This window comes from Homo sapiens, chromosome 1 (genome assembly GCF_000001405.40).
Source record: "Homo sapiens chromosome 1, GRCh38.p14 Primary Assembly".
Lineage (NCBI taxonomy): Eukaryota > Metazoa > Chordata > Mammalia > Primates > Hominidae > Homo > Homo sapiens.
In genome coordinates, this window is record NC_000001.11 from 167,733,384 (window position 1) to 167,751,027 (window position 17,644).

At 41.0% G+C, this 17,644-nt stretch overlaps 1 protein-coding gene across 4 annotated transcripts in view; it reads left to right on the plus strand.

Moving 5' to 3' along the window:
• Positions 1-17,644, plus strand: part of MPZL1 (myelin protein zero like 1) — a 69,938-nt gene that overhangs the window by 11,402 nt on the left and 40,892 nt on the right. The gene's annotated exons all lie outside the window — the stretch shown is intronic.

Consider the following 17,644-nt stretch of genomic DNA (forward strand, 5'->3'; position numbering starts at 1 on the left):
TCACAAAGTTCTTTTAAAATGCTGGGACTCCCCTCACAGATCTACTTTTCACAGTCATGTGGTGAAAGGTGTGTCCTCTGGCTGGGCCTGGTGGTTTATGCCTGTAATCCCAGCACTTTGGGAAGCTGAGATGGGTGGATTGCTTGAGGTCAGGAGTTCAAGACCAGGCTGGTCAACATGGCAAAACCCCATCTCTACTAAAAATACAAAAATTAGCTGGGCGTGATGATGCGTGCCTGTAATCCCAGCTACTCAGGAGGCTGAGGCACAAGAATCGCTTGAATCCAGGAGGTGAGGTTGCAGTGAGCTGAGATTGTGCCACTGCACTCCACCCTGGGTGACAGAGTGAGACTCTGTCAAAAAAAAAAAAAATTAGCCAGGCTTAGTGGCGTGAGCCTGTAGTCCTAGGTACCTGAAAGGCTGAGGCAGGAAGATTGTTTGAGCCCAAGAGTTCAAGGCTGCAGTGAGCTATGATTGAGCCACTGCACTCTAGCCTGCAACAGAGCAAGACCCTGTTTAAAAAAAAAAAAAGATATGTCCTCTGGACACTCACAGGTGAGTAAGTAGATCTTAAAAGATAAATGCACTGTAGGCCGGGTGCGGTGGCTCACGCCTGTAATCCCAGCACTTTGGGAGGCCAAGGCGGACGGATCATGAGGTCAGGAGATCAAGACCATCCTGGCTTACATGGTGAAACCCCGTCTCTACTAAAAATACAAAAAATTAGCCAGGCATGGTGGTGGGCACCTGTAGTCCCAGCTACTCGGGAGGCTGAGGCAGGAGAATGGCGTGAACCCAGGAGGCAGAGCTTGCAACGAGCCAAGATTGCGCCACTGCACTCCAGCCTGGGTGACAGAGCGAGACTCCATCTCAAAAAAAAAAAAAGATAAACCCACTGTAACACTCCAGTCTCCCTAGGCCTTTGAATGCCTTCCTCCATAGTAAGCCGAGGCAGGCCTGGCATTTCAAGTTCATTTACTGAGGGCCACATTTTGGTCCATGTTTCAGCCAGCAAACCAAACTGTTAGAGCCCTTTCTAACACCCTGAGTTGCGTAACATTAAATGCAGAATCTCTGATTAGTGGGCCCATATCAGTAAATTTGGCCTAACCCAACTTGACGTTCCCTCCACCATGATCCCATACCCTTAATATCCATTCCCACACATATTCCCCAGATTTCTGTTTATATAAATTAGAAAAATCAAATAGTTTTTTTAGAGTATGTGCACCTTCATGGTTCACATTTTGTACCTCACCTTTAGGAGCCTCCTGAGACTTAAGTCTAGTTATAGATCTAGAAGCAAAGAGAGGCGTTGGGGGTAGGTCCTGAGGAGAATCAGCAGTGTCTTGCAATGCAGCTGCCTCAGGGGAGGCCATTAAAGTTTCCTCAGGCACAGCAGGTTTAATTGCCTCAGATGTGGGTGGATGGCTGCTTCCACTGGCAAAAAAGACTCATAAGAATTTAGGGATTCAATGTTTCCAGCTCCATAAGGGAGTTCCCACATTTCTCCATTCCAATATTCAGGATCCCTTTCCTTCCCAATCAATGCCCTCACTTTAGTAGCAGACACCCTGCAGACGTTGGGAATTCAGTTTGTGCTGTAGTTGAGTCATTTGCAGAATAAGATTCTGGATTTGATTTTCAGCAATTTCAGCTCTATGGCTAACAGAGATAAGGATATCTTTCAGACATAAAGTTTTCTGTTCAGATATGTAGTGCTCAAGCTGGGAATTTGAATCCCTGAGCTCATCCATTTCTTTTCTCACTTTGTCCATTGTCATTAGGAGTAACCAACAAATCTCATTATACTCATTAGTTTGACAAAAATGTTTAAAGGTATAGTATATGTGGTCACCCAGAACCTTATTCTTATACGTGTTTGATTAAAAGTACCCAATGGTGACATTTTGCATATCTCCATTGCCACATCATACCCATACTTTTACTACTGGAAATAGTCATTAGTGTCCTTTAATCCAGTTAGAGAGCCAAGTCCTGAAACCCTAGAATCAATTCAGAGAACTCATCCTTAAGATTCTGCTCCTTTAGAGCCACTCTTAAAACCAAAATTAGGGTTCTCCAGAGAAACAGAACCAGCAAGATGTGCATGTGTGTGTGTGTGCACTCTCTTTTTCTTTATATAAATATAGATAGATAACCTATCTATATCTTGCTGGCATAGATAGATAGATAGGAATTCGCTCATATGATTGTGGAGGCTTGGTAAGTCCAAAATCTGCAGGGTAGGCTGGCAGGCTGGAGACCTAGGGAAAAGTTGCAATTCAAGTCCAAAGGCGGTCTGCTGGCAGAATTCCTTCTTTTTCAGGGATGGTCAGTCTTTGTTATTGTTAAGACCTTTAACTGATTGGATAAGGCACACCTACATTATAATGGAGGGTAATCTGCTTTACTCAGAGTCCCCCAATTGTAATATTAATCTTATCAGAAAACAGCTTCACAGAAATAACTAATGAATTTTAAAAGATAAGCCATAGTGGAGATCTCAAATTGTGGTTTCCCATGATTGTAAACAATTCTATTCTTTGTTGTCTCTATTTTAGCACTTTCTCTTTACATCTCAACTTGGTGCTATCTGACTTCCTCCTCCTCTCACTATTTGACACTTTGATAAAGGCCATCTGATATTACCAAATCAACTAACCTGTTTCAGCCTTTTCTTTCCAGACCTTTTTGCTTTCCTTAACATGGTTGACCACTTTGATCTCATTTCCTTTGCCTTTGTGACATTACTCCTGGTTCTCATCTCTCTTCCCTGTCTTCTTCAAGTCTTCATCCTCTGCCTGTGGCCCCAATGTTGATTTTCCTTAGGCAGGTTCTGCTCTCAGCCCTTTGCTAGTCTCACTGCATGCTTGTCTTTGGTAATTTCGTCCATTTTTGTCTGTTTGTTGACAGTGAATATGTGGCAGCTATAGGCATTCAATACGTATTTGTTGAATAAATGGTGACTCCCAAATATATCCCCAGTGCTCTGAACTGCAGAATCTTACCAACTGACCATTACATACAACTGGACATACCCATTTGAATGTCCAGAGGCACCTCAAACTCTGTATGCTCAGAACTCAACTCTATATATCTCTCCTCCTCAAACTGTGCTTCCTCCGGCATGCCACTCGCTATTGTTATTGCTTGCTGCTGTCCTATTTGTCTTTCCCTCAAGTCAGCCAAGCCAAAAATTTGGTCTTCATCCTAGAATCCTTCCCTTTCCTCACCTCACCTCCCTGGATTTAATCAGATCTCTGCCAGTGTTTACCTTTTATTTCTGAACCCACTCCCTCCTTTCCATTGTCCCAGGACAAATGCCAGTCATTTTAAGTTCATGTTACTGCAAGAGGCTTGAGACTCCTAGATCGTCTCTCTAATGGTAGTCATCTTCCCTTCAGGTCTGCCCTCCCAACTGTTGCCAGAGGGATCTCTCTCTTGGGCAAATTTAATTGTACCACTCTTCTGTTAAGATCCTCCATCTCTCCCCATTATCTCTGGGATGTACTTAGGTCTGCCATCCCCTTCCTTGTACTTTATTGATTTTTTGCAACATTTCTGCATAATACTGCTGTTTTATGTCTCCTTGAATTCGTGTATGATATTTTCACTCTTCTGATTACCCTTGTCCCTTATTTACCTGGCTAACTCCTATTTAGCTTTCTCATCTCAGATGTAATCTCAAGGCCAAGCACTTTGCCTCTAAGCTTCCTCTATCTCTTTATCTAAAATTATGTTTTTATATGATTGTCTCCCCAAATACAGGAACTGTGTGTCTTATATACTTTGGGTCTCCAATGCTTAACATAATGCCTGGAACATAGTAAATGTTTAGTATATATTAGATGAACTGTTGAACTGTACTCAAGTGGAAATTACAAACATCAGAGCAGAGAGGGTGAAAATAAGGAAGCAGAACCTCCCAGAACTTAAGATCTTAAGAGCAGGGTAGTAATCAGTCCTCAACTTTGTACTGTAGACACTGGATTTGATAGTGATGTGGCTCAGGGCCAGGATGAGGCTGGGGAGGGAACTGGGCCAAGATCAGGAAGGGGTTGAGGGGTGGTGTTCAATAAGATCGTAACGTCAGTTTAACTTACAGTGAACTTTATAAACGCTGGGGGGCTAGTATATTTTAGCAGATCGGGTTGTTAGTACATTCTCTCCCTGTGCTGAGATAGATTGTTCTCACAAGATTGCCCAGGGAATATGGGATAAGCCCAGTAGATGTTTATTGAATGACCTCAATGGCTCTGGCCATCAAGCTATCATAGCCTAAAACACCCCTTTCTTCACAGTAGGAATATAACTGACAGGTGCATTGGATTAGTTACATTACCTCTTCACTGGGCAGTGATGCAGTGTGCTGACAATGACACTTTAGATATGAGGATATGGCCTAGAAACATTGATTGGCCTTTTTCTGGATCTTAAAGAGATTTCCTGGATGGAGAGCCTGTCATTTAGAGTAGATTATCTCTACAGAGAACCAATATCATCCATTGAGTACTGAGATTTCTTGTGTTTTTTTGTTTGTTTGTTTGTTTGTTTGTTTTGAGACAGAGTCTTGCTCTCGCTCAGGCTGGAGTGCAGTGGCGCAATCTCGGCTCGCTGCAAGCTCCGCCTCCTGGGTTCACGCCATTCTCCTGCCTCAGCCTCTTGAGTTGCTGGGACTACAGGCGCCTGCCACTGTGCCCGGCTAATTTTTTGTATTTTTTTAGAGACGAGGTTCCACCGTGTTAGCTAGGATGGTCTCAATCTCCTGACCTCGTGATCCGCCCGCCTCGGCCTCCCAAAGTGCTAGGATTATAGGAGTGAGCCACCGCGCCTGGCCAAGATTTCTTGTTTTAAAATTCATTACCTTTTTTTGATTTAACTAAATAATCAGGTCTCTACCAGATTTCAAGATATTTAGTACGCTAATGTTGAATTGAAAGAACCTTGGACTTGAGTCAGTGCACAAAAATGAACATGAAGACCACAAATACTCATGTCTGCTAACAACATAGTGATACAAATAAGATGTCCGTGTAACTACTAACCCCATTATTTACTGATCTCCATTGCTGTACTTTGTATTTTTCCTACTATTTATAGCTGGAAATATATTGATATGGTTTGGCTCTGTGTCCCCACCCAAATATCATTTTGAATTGTAATCCCCAGTGTTGGAGGTGGGAACTGGTGGGAGGTGATTGGATCTTGGGGGTGGGGATTTCTCATGAATGATTTAGCACCATACTCTTGGTGCTGTTCTCTTGACAGTGAGTGAGTGAGTGAGTTATTGCGAGATCTGGTTGTTTAAAAGTATGTAGCACATCCTCCTCTCTCTCTTGCTCCTGCTCTTGCCATGTAAGACATGCCTGCTCCCCATTCACCTTCTGCCATGATTGTAAGTTTCCTGAGGCCTCCCCAGAAGCCGAGCAAATGCCAGCATCATGCTTCCTGTGTAGCCTGCAGAACCACGAGCCAATTAAACCTCTTTTCTTAATAAATTACCCAGTCTCAGGTATTTCTTTATAGTAATGTGAGAATGGACCAATACATATATTTTGGTTTTTCGGAGTTTTTTTGAGAGAGGGTCTCACTGTCACCCGGGCTGGAGTACAGTGGCTCAATCTTGGCTCACTGCAACCTCCACCTCCAGGTTCAAGCGATTCTCCCACCTCAGTCTCGCGAGTAGCTGGGACCACAGGTGCACACCACCATGCCCAGCTAAGCTTTGTGTTTTTTGGTAGAGACAGGGTTTCACCATGTTAGTCAACCTGGTCTTGAGCTCCTGACCTCAGGTTATCTGCCTGCCTTAGCCTACCAAAGTGCTGGGATTATAGGTGTGAACCACTGCACCCAGCCAAAGGGACTAATACATACACATACATATATACATATATACATATATATATATATATATATATATATACACATATATATATTTATGTTTATTCTTTCTTGGCGTTCCTGCTGCAGTATGAATCTCTGCCAAGGCCCAGAAAAGTGACTGGGACATAGAATGAATTCAGGTGTTTGTTGAATGAATTTATTGGTGGTGTGCAGAGTGTTACCATGCTTTGTTGGTTTGTTAATTGAAAGTTTTTAAGTAGAAGAGCTTTTGAATTTTGAAAGAATAATTAAAGCTTTCAAAAATTCTAAGATGTAATTTACCTTATACAGATGTAGAAATTGAGCTCTCAAGTTCTCTGTATGTGCTGCCTTCCCATAAACATTAAACATTGCCATGACACCCAGAGAAGCCCCAGGGAGCCTGGTAAGCAGCCATATACCTGGGGAATATAGCTAGAGAACTTTTGTTTTCTGCCTCACTCTCAAAAGTGTCTGGATTTGCCCCCTCATTTGTCATATCCCTGTTAACTACAGTCACTACTCTAAACATCTACTTTGGCTCTCTTTCCTTACCCCTCTTATCTGCTCAGAACCTCCTTACCAGAAAATGTAGCAACTCCACAATCTTTTCCCACCCTTCAAGCACCATATCCTTTTATAGTTTCACTACGACAGTTTCTGGAGCTCATCAAGTCTTCCCATCCCTCCCTGCTTTTGTTTTGTATTCGTTACTTCCTGGCTGCTTCCCTCTCCCGCTCCAACTTGGAGTCCATAGTTCATTGTTATAATCATTCCTTTGTAAAGGCTCCTACTTCCCCAGCCCTTCTGTGCCATCATTGCACTTACCTGGCAATCCCTCAACCCTGGGAAAACCCTACCATCTCTTTTTACATCCTTAAGCATTTGTTGCTTTAATTATTGCCCTCTTTAGATCATTCTTACTACAATACAAACATGAGCTAGAATTTCTAATCTTAAAAACCTTCTCTTGGTTCTATAGTCCTCTTTAGCTACATTTCTGGGCCGTAACTCTTAGCAAATTTTTACAAAAATGGACTATACTCCTTTCTTTGTATGTACACCCTCCCTTCCCACTTTCTTCTGTCCAGCCATCCCACAGCTGCCTCTGCCACTCCATTGAAACTTCTCCTATCAGGATCACCAGAGGACTCCAGGTTGACAAACCATATTAGTTCTTCCCTATAGCCACCTTATATGACTTCTCAGTCCCTCCTCTCTTCTCTTGGCTTTACTTACACCACATTCTCTGGTTTTCTTCCCCTCTCACAGTCTGCTCCCTTTCCGCCACCTTTTCAGGGTCTTTTCTCCCTCCCTGACCTTTATAGTTTGATGTCTGTATGACTTCGGCTTGGCTCTCATCTTCCTCTACATTATTTTCCTATGTAATAGCATCTTCTCCTGTAGTTTAAAATACTGCCTGTATGCTGGTAACTTCCAAAATTTATATACAATTCAGACCTCTCTGAACATCAGACCTGCATATCCGGTTACCTGCTTAACTCCATTTAGAGGTCTCAAGGTCTCATTGACATTGCAAACTTAACATTTCCAAAATGGCAGGTTGCTTTCTATTCCTTCTCTCCAGTTAAATCTATCCAGTTGCTCAAGCTAGAAACCCAGGAGTTATTCTCCATTCATCCCTTCTCTTCACTCCCATGTCCAATCTAATAGCAAGAAGTCCTGTATGTCATCCCTTTCTCTCACCATCTCCTTGCCTCTAGTCTAGGTCATGGCTGCAGTACACAGCACCAGAATTACTGCAGTCACTTCTTTGGTTTTTGTTTTGAGACAGTCTTGCTCTGTCACCCAGACTCAAGTGCAGTAGTGTAATCACGGCTTACTGCAGCCTTGAACTCTTGGGCTCAAGCAATCCTGCTGCCTCAGCCTCCTAAGTAGCTGGGACTGTAGGCATGTGCCACCACGCCTGGCTAATTTTTTTTTTTTTTTTTTTTAGAGATGGGGGTTTCGCTATGTTGTCCAGGCTGGTCTTGACCTCTTGGGCTCAAGTGATCCTCCTGCCTCAGCCTCCCAAAGTGCTGGGATTACAGGCATGAGTCACCACGTCTAGCCTGCAGTCACTTTTTTTTTTTTTTTTTCCTGACAAGGTCTCACTTGTCACCCAGGCGTGCTGTGGCATGATCTCAGCTCACTGCAACCTCCGCCTCCCAGATTCCAGCAATTCTTGTGCCTCAGCCTCCTGAGTAGCTGGAATTACAGGCACACGCCACCACGCCTGGCTAATTTTTGTATTTTTAGTAGAGCTGGATTTCACCATGTTGACCAGGCTAGTCTTGAATTCCTGACCTCAAGTGATCTGCTCGCCTCAGCCTCCCAAAGTGTTGGGATTACAGGCATGAGCCACTGTGCCTGGCCTGCAGTCACTTCTTAACTGCTTTCCCAATTTCAGTCCGTATTCCCCTCCACTCCATTTTCTACATAGCAGCAAGAACTATTTTACATCAGGTGCTGTCATTTTGTTGTTTAAAACCCTTTAGTCTTGGCTGGGCACTGTGGCTCATGCCGATAATCCCAGCACTTTGGGAGGTCAAGGCAGGAGGATCACTTGAGCTCAGCAGTTCAAGACCGGCCTGGGCAACATGGTGAAACCCTGTCTCTACAAAAAATATAAAAGTTAGCTGGGCCTGATGGCTCACACCTGTAGTCCCAGCTACTCAGGAGGCTGAAGTGGGAAGATTGCTTGCACCTGGGAGGTTGAGGGTGAAGTGAGCCATGATCATGCCACTGCACTCCAGCCTGGGTGACAAAGTGAGACCCTGCCCCCAGAAAAAAACCCTTGTTGGGAGGTCAAGGCAAGTGTATCACCTGAGGTCAGGAGTTTGAGACCAGCCTGGCCAACATGGCAAAACCCCGTCTCTACTAAAAATAGAAAAATTAGCCAGGCGTGGTGGCCCTCACCTGTAGTCCCAGCTACTCGGGAGGTTGAGGCAGGAGAATCACTTTAACCTGGGAGGCGGAGGTTGCAGTGAGCAGAGATCATGCCACTGCACTTCAGCCTGGGTGACAGAGCAAGACAAAAAAAAGAAAAAAAAATCTTTGATCTTATCAAATTGTTCTTGTTTTCCATAATATCAAAAACCCGGCATATAAATATATAACAAGTATAAGAGTGTATCGCCTAACTATATTATGGGCAGATACCTTAATAGTATCTTTCAAATAAAAAAGATACTTGCCAACTTTTAAAATAAATATATATGGAGTGCCTGAGGGAATTTCTTAAGGAGTCCATAGTCTATCATCAGTCTACCATAATCAGAATAGGAACTATAGTTTATTTTGGAATGGATTGTGAAGATTTTCTCTCACTCTGTGGGTTGTCTGTTTACTCTGCTGACTGTTCCTTTTGCCACACAAAAGCTCTTTAGTTTAAGTCCCAGCTATTTATCTTTGTTTTTGTTGCATTTGCTTTTGGGTCTTGGTCATGAAGTCTTTGCGTAAGCTAATGTCTAGAAGGGTTTTTCCAATGTTCTCTTCTAGAATTTTTATAGTTTCAGGTCTTAGATTTAAGTCCTTGATCTATCTTGAGTTGATTTTTGTATAAGGTGAGAGATGAGGATCCAGTTTCATTCTCCTACATGTGGCTAGCCAATTATCCCAGCACCAGTTGTTGAATAGGGTGTCCTTTCCCCACTTGATGTTTTTGTTTGCTTTGTCAATGATCAGTAGGCTGTAAGTATTTGGGTTTATTTTTGGGTTCTCTATTTTGTTCCTTTGGTCTATGTGCCTATTTTTATTACAGTACCAGGCTGCTTTGATGACTGTGGCCTTATAGTATGGTTTGAAATCAGGTAATGTGATGTCTCCAGATTGTATGCAGGCTCTTTTTTGGTTCCATATGAATTTTAGGATTGTTTTTTCTAGTTCTGTGAAAACTGATGGTGGTATTTTGATGGGAATTGCGTTGAATTTGTAGATTACTTTTGGCAGTATCATCATTTTCACTTTTTTTTTTTCTTCGAGACAGAGTCTCGCTCTGTCGCCAGGCTGGATTGCAATGGCGTGATCTTGCCTGACTGCAACCTCTGCCTCCTGGGTTCAAGCAATTCTCCTGCCTCAGCCTCCCAAGTAGCTGGGACTACAGGCGCACATCACGCCCAGCTAATTTTTGTATTTTTAGTAGAGACGGGGTTTCACCATGTTAGCCAGGCTGGTCTCGATCTCTTGACCTCGTGACCCTCCCGCCTCGGCCTCCCAAAGTACTGAGATTACAGGCGTGAGCCACCGCGCCTGGCCTTCGCAATATTAATTCTTCCTATCCGTGAGCATGGGATGTGTTTCCTTTTGTTTATGTCATCTGTGATTTCTTTCAGCAGTGTTCTGTAGTTTTCCTTGTAGAAGTGTTTCACCTCCTTGGTTAGGTATATTCCTAAGTATTTTGTTTTACTTTTTTTGCAGCTATTGTAGAAGGGGTTGAGTTCTTGATTTGATTCTCAGCTTGGTTGCTGTTGGTGTATAGAAGAGCTACTGATTTGTTTACATTAATTTTGCATCTGGAAACTGCTGAATTCTTTTATCAGTTCTGGGAGCTTTCTGGAGGAGTCTTTAGGGTTTTCTAGGTAAACAGTCTTATCATCAGCAAACAACAACAGTTTGACTTCCTCTTTACTGATTTGGATGCCCTTTATTTCTTTCTCTTGTCTGATTTCTCGGGCTAGGACTTCCAATACTTTGTTGAAGAGAAGTGGTAAGAGTGGGCATCTTTGTCCTATTCCAGTTCTCAGAGGGACTGCTTTCAACTTTTCCCTATTCATTATTATGTTGGCTGTGGGTTTGTCATAGATGGCTTTTATTACATTGAGGTATGTAATGGACAGGCATTCTAAGCCCTTTACAAATATTAACTCATTTCATTCTTGTAATAACTCTTTGAAGTCGGTACTATTAGAATAAACTTAAAAGTATGAGAAACTGAGGCATGGAGGGCTTTTTGCACAAGGTCCCACATCACTCTTTCTTGTCTCGGGTAACCCTGTGATTCACATAGTTGCAGACCACATAGTCACACCGGAAGTTTTTCAGGAAACCTTTCTAGACATCTTGTTAAAAACTTACAAAGGGGACAACTTTTGATGTGTAAAACAATTAGGAAGCATGTCCAGAGTCTAAGTGTTCTTTAAAAACCAAAAAAAGGCCGGGCACAGTGGCTCATGCCTGTAATCCCAGCACTTTGGGAGGCCAAGACGGGTGGATCACCTGAGGTCAGGAGTTTGAGACCAGCCTGGCCAACATGGCAAACCCCTGTCTCTACTAAAAATACAAAAATTAGTGGGCCATGGTCGTGTGCGTCTATAATCCCAGCTACTTGGGAGGCTGAGGCAGGAGAAACACTTGAACCCGGGGGTCAGAGGTTGCAGTGAGCCGAGATCGCACCACTTCACTCCAGCCTGGGCGAAAGAGCGAAACTCAGTCTCAAAAAAAAAAAAAAAAAGAACCTCCAAATAGCAGTTTGCCCATTTTCTCCTTCCAAGTTCACATATAGACCTTAATAAAAGTTATAGACTCCAACAACTAGTAAATATTTTTTTCCACTTGTTTCGTTAAATTTATTTCCATTAAATTGGGAGTAAGATCAAAACAGAATAATGTTTACTGTCATCAGTTTAAGAATAAATGTTGTGCTTACTCCGCAGAGGCGGATGGATCCACTACTTCTCCCCCCACTGCAAAATTTGGTTAAGATGTGGAAACTGATGATACCATATGTGCACCAGGACGGTACGAAAAGGGTTTATGACTCACTTACTGAGGCTTTTTGGGGAGAGCAGGGCAGGCTTCCCATGCAGGTACAAGAATGGCTTGAGAAAGCAGGAAAAGGATACTGGCTCTCCTTTTATGGTGATAAGTTGCTGAGTCTGGAGTGAAGGTCCTTATATGCCCCTTCAGCCAGGTCTTGGTTTGAACTTCCCACCTGTTCCAAAGGATGGCTCACTTGGGCTTTCTTATTAGCTTGCCCTGAGGAAAGGGGTACAGCTTGAAAGCTCTTGGCAGTCAAATATCAAAAATGATGTCAGACTCTTTATTACAAATATATTTTTAAGTGCTTGTCATTGTTTATGTTATGGGGCAAAAATCTTGCATTGTACTAAACACCATGTCACTAATAGTGTGAATAGAAGATTCAGCAGACTAATGTCAAGAATGTTTTTGGAACCTTGAACACAGGGAATATCCTGTGTGTCTTTTAAAAACACGGAAAATACTTAACATCTCTATTTTGTTTGGGTTAACACTGATGATGCTGAAATGTTGGGTATTGATTGCCTGGGTCACTATGGGCAAAGAAGCTTTTTTTGTTTTTGTTTAGTTTTATGATATTACTGATTTCTGTGTTTTGTCATATTCTTTTTGTATTTTATTAAACATGTTTTTAATAAATGGGCACTCTTATTTTCAAACTTAATAAATAGGACTCATTTTACTATGCATATCCTGGGTTTTAAATTCTGAGCTAAGAAACAAGAGATAGAAGAACCAAATTTGGGTAAAATTCAGAGTCTTAGATGCCAGAAGCCAGGGAGACGCTGGAAAACAATTATTGAGATGTGTTATAGGTTAACTGATAGTTGGAAGACAACATGCCTTTCAGGTTTGTGGTTTACTGCCTTTCATTAATTCTGACACAGTTTTTAATATTTTAATATCTCTGATATTGGGATATGCCTTACAATTGTTGGCGAGTCATAGCCAGCATTTTTATTTCTTGGGGACACAGAAAATAATGTGTCTTACCCTCAGTGGTGTCTTCAATTACATGAACTATGACAATTTTTACACCTTTATAAGTCTTTTAAAATAAAAAATTCATTTATACTTCAGAAAAAATACCTATGATTAGACCACGAGTTAGGGGAGACTTTGCAGTGGTGATTGCCTTGGAGTTGCCTTGAAGGAAGAGTGGGAGTTGGCCCAACGGGAGTGGGTTGGTGGAGAAGGCATTCAGACTGAGAGATAGCATATACAGCATATTATAAAGAGTGTGCTGTGTTGGGGAAAGGGCTAGAAGTTTGATGTGGCAAAAATGTAGGCTCTGGGATGAGATGAGAATGATAAACTGGCTGGAATGGTAACCTGGAGCCAGCCTTTGAAAGGCTCTGTGTGCCGTGCGAGGGAGTTGAGGCTGTCTTGGCATGTTAGGCAGCATTGTAAAGCAGCTCTCCCTCCCTGTTTGCATCAGCAAAGGGGTGGGCAGCATTGGCACCAATAACAGAAGAGTGAAGACAATACATATGTCGAATAAGATCTCTAGCACAGAGTTCTCCAAAATGGAAAGGGCTGCACCCTGGAATCAGATGGAAGGGAGAACTTTACCAAGGGGGTGCTATTTCCTTCTGCTCTGTTGTGAATGGAGTTGGGGTTCAGTGGCCTGTTTTAGAAGCCTGTTTGTGGGCAAGCTGTGTGACAAAGTTGTTGAAAAATGAGGAATGGCTTTCAGAGGGCAGTATTAATCCATTTGGATGGAAATTTAGGAGTGGAACATGTGTTTCTAAGCTGTTTTTGGCTTTTTCCTAAGGGCTATATATTCTTAAATTAAAGGTGATTTATCATTCTTAGTTTCCTCTAAAATATAACTTTTTGTAGAGGGAGGCTTTATCACAAAATTTAAGAAAAAATAAGTTTGTTATTCTTGCTGTGGTTTTATTTTTATAAGAAATTTGGGAATTTGATCCTTCATAGCAGAAATTTGTTCAGTTTGGGTCTCCAAACAAGAGACACAGAAAATTTGTTCATCAGAGAGCCACTGAGATATATAGAGAGTTAGAAGATCAGTCAGGAAACATTAATGGAACCGGAATTATACAATAGAGGAAGAAAACTGCAAATATTTCTGTTGTTTCAGCCTAATTTTAACACTCATTACCATTTGCAGCCCATAAGCGAATTGTTTTGCATAGAGCCTGCATTGCTAAGCCAGTAGAAGGAACTAGTCTTTTAAAAACATTTTCTAATTTCATTCCCTTTTATTTTTGAGACAGGGCCTCACTCTGTCGTCTAGGCCGGAGTGCAGTGGTGCGATCTCAGCTCACAGCAGCCTCAACTATCCAGGCTCAGGCAGTCTTCCCATCTCAGTCTCTCAAATAACTGGGATTTACAGCATGAGCCACCATGCCTGGCAAATTTTTAAAAAATGTTTTGTAGAAACAGGGGTCTCACTATGTTGCCCAGGCTGGTCTAGAACTCCTAGGCTCAAGTGATCCTCCTGCCTCAGCCTCCCGAAGTGCTGAATGAACCACCACACCAGGTCTTTTATTTCACGTTTAAATAAAAATGTTAGATAGTAGTATGTTGACATAGTTCAAAAGTTAAAAAAGAATACATGATAAAAAGTCTTCCTCCTAGTCCCCTGTCCCTTTGCTGAGGAACTCAGTGTTAGTATCCTGTGTATGGTTCCAGAGATATTTTATGGAGATGTGAGCAAATCTATAAGTGATAGCATCTCATACACATGGTTCTACAGCTGCTTTTTTTTTTAACAGAAGTTTTACTGTGATATAATTCACATACTGTGGAATTCACCCATTTCAGTTGGGATTCAGTGGTTTTTCAGTGTATTCACAGTGTGTTGCAGCCGTCATTACTTATATAATATTAGAACACTTTCATCACCCCATAAAGAAACCTTATATCCATTAGGGCTTAGTCCCTCTTCCCCTAGCAACTACTAATCTACTTTCTGTATTAGAAATTTTATATGGATAGAATCAGATAATATGGGGCCTTTTCTGTCTGGCATCTTTCACTTAGCATAACATTTTCAGTTTTCATTCATGATGTAGCATGTATCAATATTTCATTTCTTTTTATAGCCATAATATTCCATTGTATGAATATACCACATTTTGTTTATCTGTTCATAAGATGAGGGACATGTTTTTCTCTTGTGTATATACTTAGGATTGCTATTGCTGAGTCATCATAACTCTGTGTTTAACCATTTGAGGACCTGCCAAACTGTTTTTCAAAAGGCTGTATCATTTCTATTCCCATCAACAATGTAGAGAGTTCTAATTTCTCTACATCCTCTCCAGCTACTGGTTAGTGCCATCTTTTTGATATAGCCATCCTAGCGAGTGTGAAGTGGTATCTCATTGTGGTTCTAATATGCCTTTTTGCTAATGACTTAGTGATCCTTGAGCACCATTAAGTGCTTATTGGCTATGTATGTCTTTGGAGAAATGATATTCATGTACATTACCCATTTTTAAATTGTTTAATCTTTGCAATGTTGATGGTAAGTGTTCTTTATATATTTGAATACAAGTCTCATATATGATTTGCAAATATTTTCTCTCATTCTGTGGATGTCTTCTTGCTTTCTTGGTAGTTTAAAGCAAAAAATTTTAAATTTTGGGTAAGTCCAATTTACCTATTATTTCTTTTGTTACTCATGCTTTTGGTGTGTTATCTAAGAAACCATTGCCTAATACAAGATCACAGAGCTTACTCCTATGTTTTTTTCTAAGGGTTTTATAGTTTTAGCTCTTACCTTTAAGTCTATGTTTTATTTGAGTTAATTTTTGTATATGATGTGCTTTACATTTTGTACTTTTCATTTAATAATATCTTGGGAGATCATTCTATTCCAGCACTAAAGAACTTCCTCAGTTTTTCTTATGATACTATAGTATTCTCTTATGTTGATATATCATAGCTACTTTAAACAGTCTCTCATTGATGGAGATTTACACAAACATTTGGGTTTGGAAATTATCTCAAAATGACATTGTGGCTTGAAAGTTGTTTCATATCACCCTTCTCAAAAATACAATTTCATCCATTTCACAGATTTGGTTGTTCCAGGCAACTCATGCTATTCAGAAGCCCTGGAATAAATCCCAGTCCTTTGGGTAGAATGACCCCAAGGAATTCAAGATATTTCATTCCATTAAATGTTTACAGTAAGTCAGGAAGCAAAAGTTTCTTTCAATTATCTGAAAATATATGGAAAAATACTTTTGGAGGGACAAGGTGCTCTAAAATTTTGTTGTACCATCTAAGCTACAGTCAGTTTCAGATGACTTAATGGCATGTGTTCTTTTACTCTTTTGTTGAATTGTTGTCTGTGTGTATAAATCAAAGTGAGTAGTAATCTAAACTTCAGGCAATACAGGCAGCCAACTCAGTAAGATATAAAATATCCAGAGATTATGAAACATATAGGTTTCTTTGTTAAAGAGGAGGCTTAGGGGAAAATCTTGAAATACATCAACACTTTCCTAATCTGCAGAGGCATATTTGGCCACTGGAAAGTAAACAAAAAAAGGCTAATAGGAAGCTAAGATTAGTATGGCAAAACCCATTCCTTCAACTTCTTGATCTTTACCTGTAACACAGTTCTTCACTAAGAGACTATTCTTATTTTATACACTGATCAAGTCAGTGTGATATCACAAAAAAAGAACTTCAGAATTGTTTAAATTCTGTTTCTGTTCTCTATGATCTGGATACCTTCAATAAGTTACTTTCCTTTTTTGGGCTAGAGTATTTTCATCTATAAAATGAACGTGAACTAGATGAGTTTTCAAGCCTATAGTAGAACAATTAATTAGAGGTGAAATAGAGGCTACTACTGGAGGCAAGCTGCAATCAGCAGTGGCCACAGCTGGCCTGATCTGCATGGAGTAGACAGTAAGAATGTTAAAAGCATTTACAAAAGTTCAAAAATAATCATGGCTGGAGACATCTGGCTAGGAGCAAATAGTCCGACATACCTGAGTGGCCCCAGAGGGCACACTAAGTTACATTATGTTCCTAATGTCCACACAAGTTCTGAGCTACCAAATAAAGGTTAAATGGAATACTGTAGTTCTTTCTTTTGCAGTTTTATTTTGATATAATTTCTCATTTACAGAAAGTTTCAGATAGAACACAAAGAATACCATCTATCCTTCACCCAGGTTTTTCTTTTCTTTTCTTTTTCCTTTTCTTTTCTTTTCTTTTCTTTTTTGAGACGGAGTTTTGCTCTCGTTGCCCAGGCTGGAGTGCAATGCCGCGATCTCAGCTCATTGCAACCTCCGCCTCCAGGGTTCAAGCAATTCTCCTGTCTCAGCCTCCCAAGTAGCTGGGATTACAGGTGCATGCTACCAACGCCCAGCTAATTTTTGTATTTTTAGTAGAGACAGGGTTTCATCATATTGGTTAGGCTGGTCTCTAACTCCTGACCTCAGGTAATCCGCCTGCCTCAGCCTCCCAAAATGCTGGGATTAAAGGCGTGAGCCACCGTGCCTGGCCCACCCAGGTTTTTCAGATGTTAACATTTTATTACATTTGCTTAAATCTTTCTCTCCCCTTCCTCCCCCTCCCACCTTGTATATGTGTTTCTGTACCACATGGAAGCAGTAAAAATGCCGTTCCTTTATTTATAAATAATTTAACATGTATTTCCTGAAGACTAAGGACATCATGTTATATAACCACAGTGTAATTATCAAAATTAGGAAATGAATATTGAAACAGTAACAGTACTGTTATCTAATATATAGAGTTTATTTGGATGATGCCCGTTGATCCAATAATGTCCATTAGAGCAGAAGAAAATCCAGAATCATGTGATTCACTTAGCCATCATGTCTCTTTCATCACCTTTAGTCTGCAGCATTTCCTGAGTCATTTTCTTTAAAGTTTTACATTAATATTTTTAATGTATATTATATAAGCCAGTTACATAGTAGATTGCCCCTCATTCAAGTGTGTCTGATGATTTAGGCTATCCATATTTGGCAGGAACACCACGGAAGTAATGTTCTGTTCTTCTCAG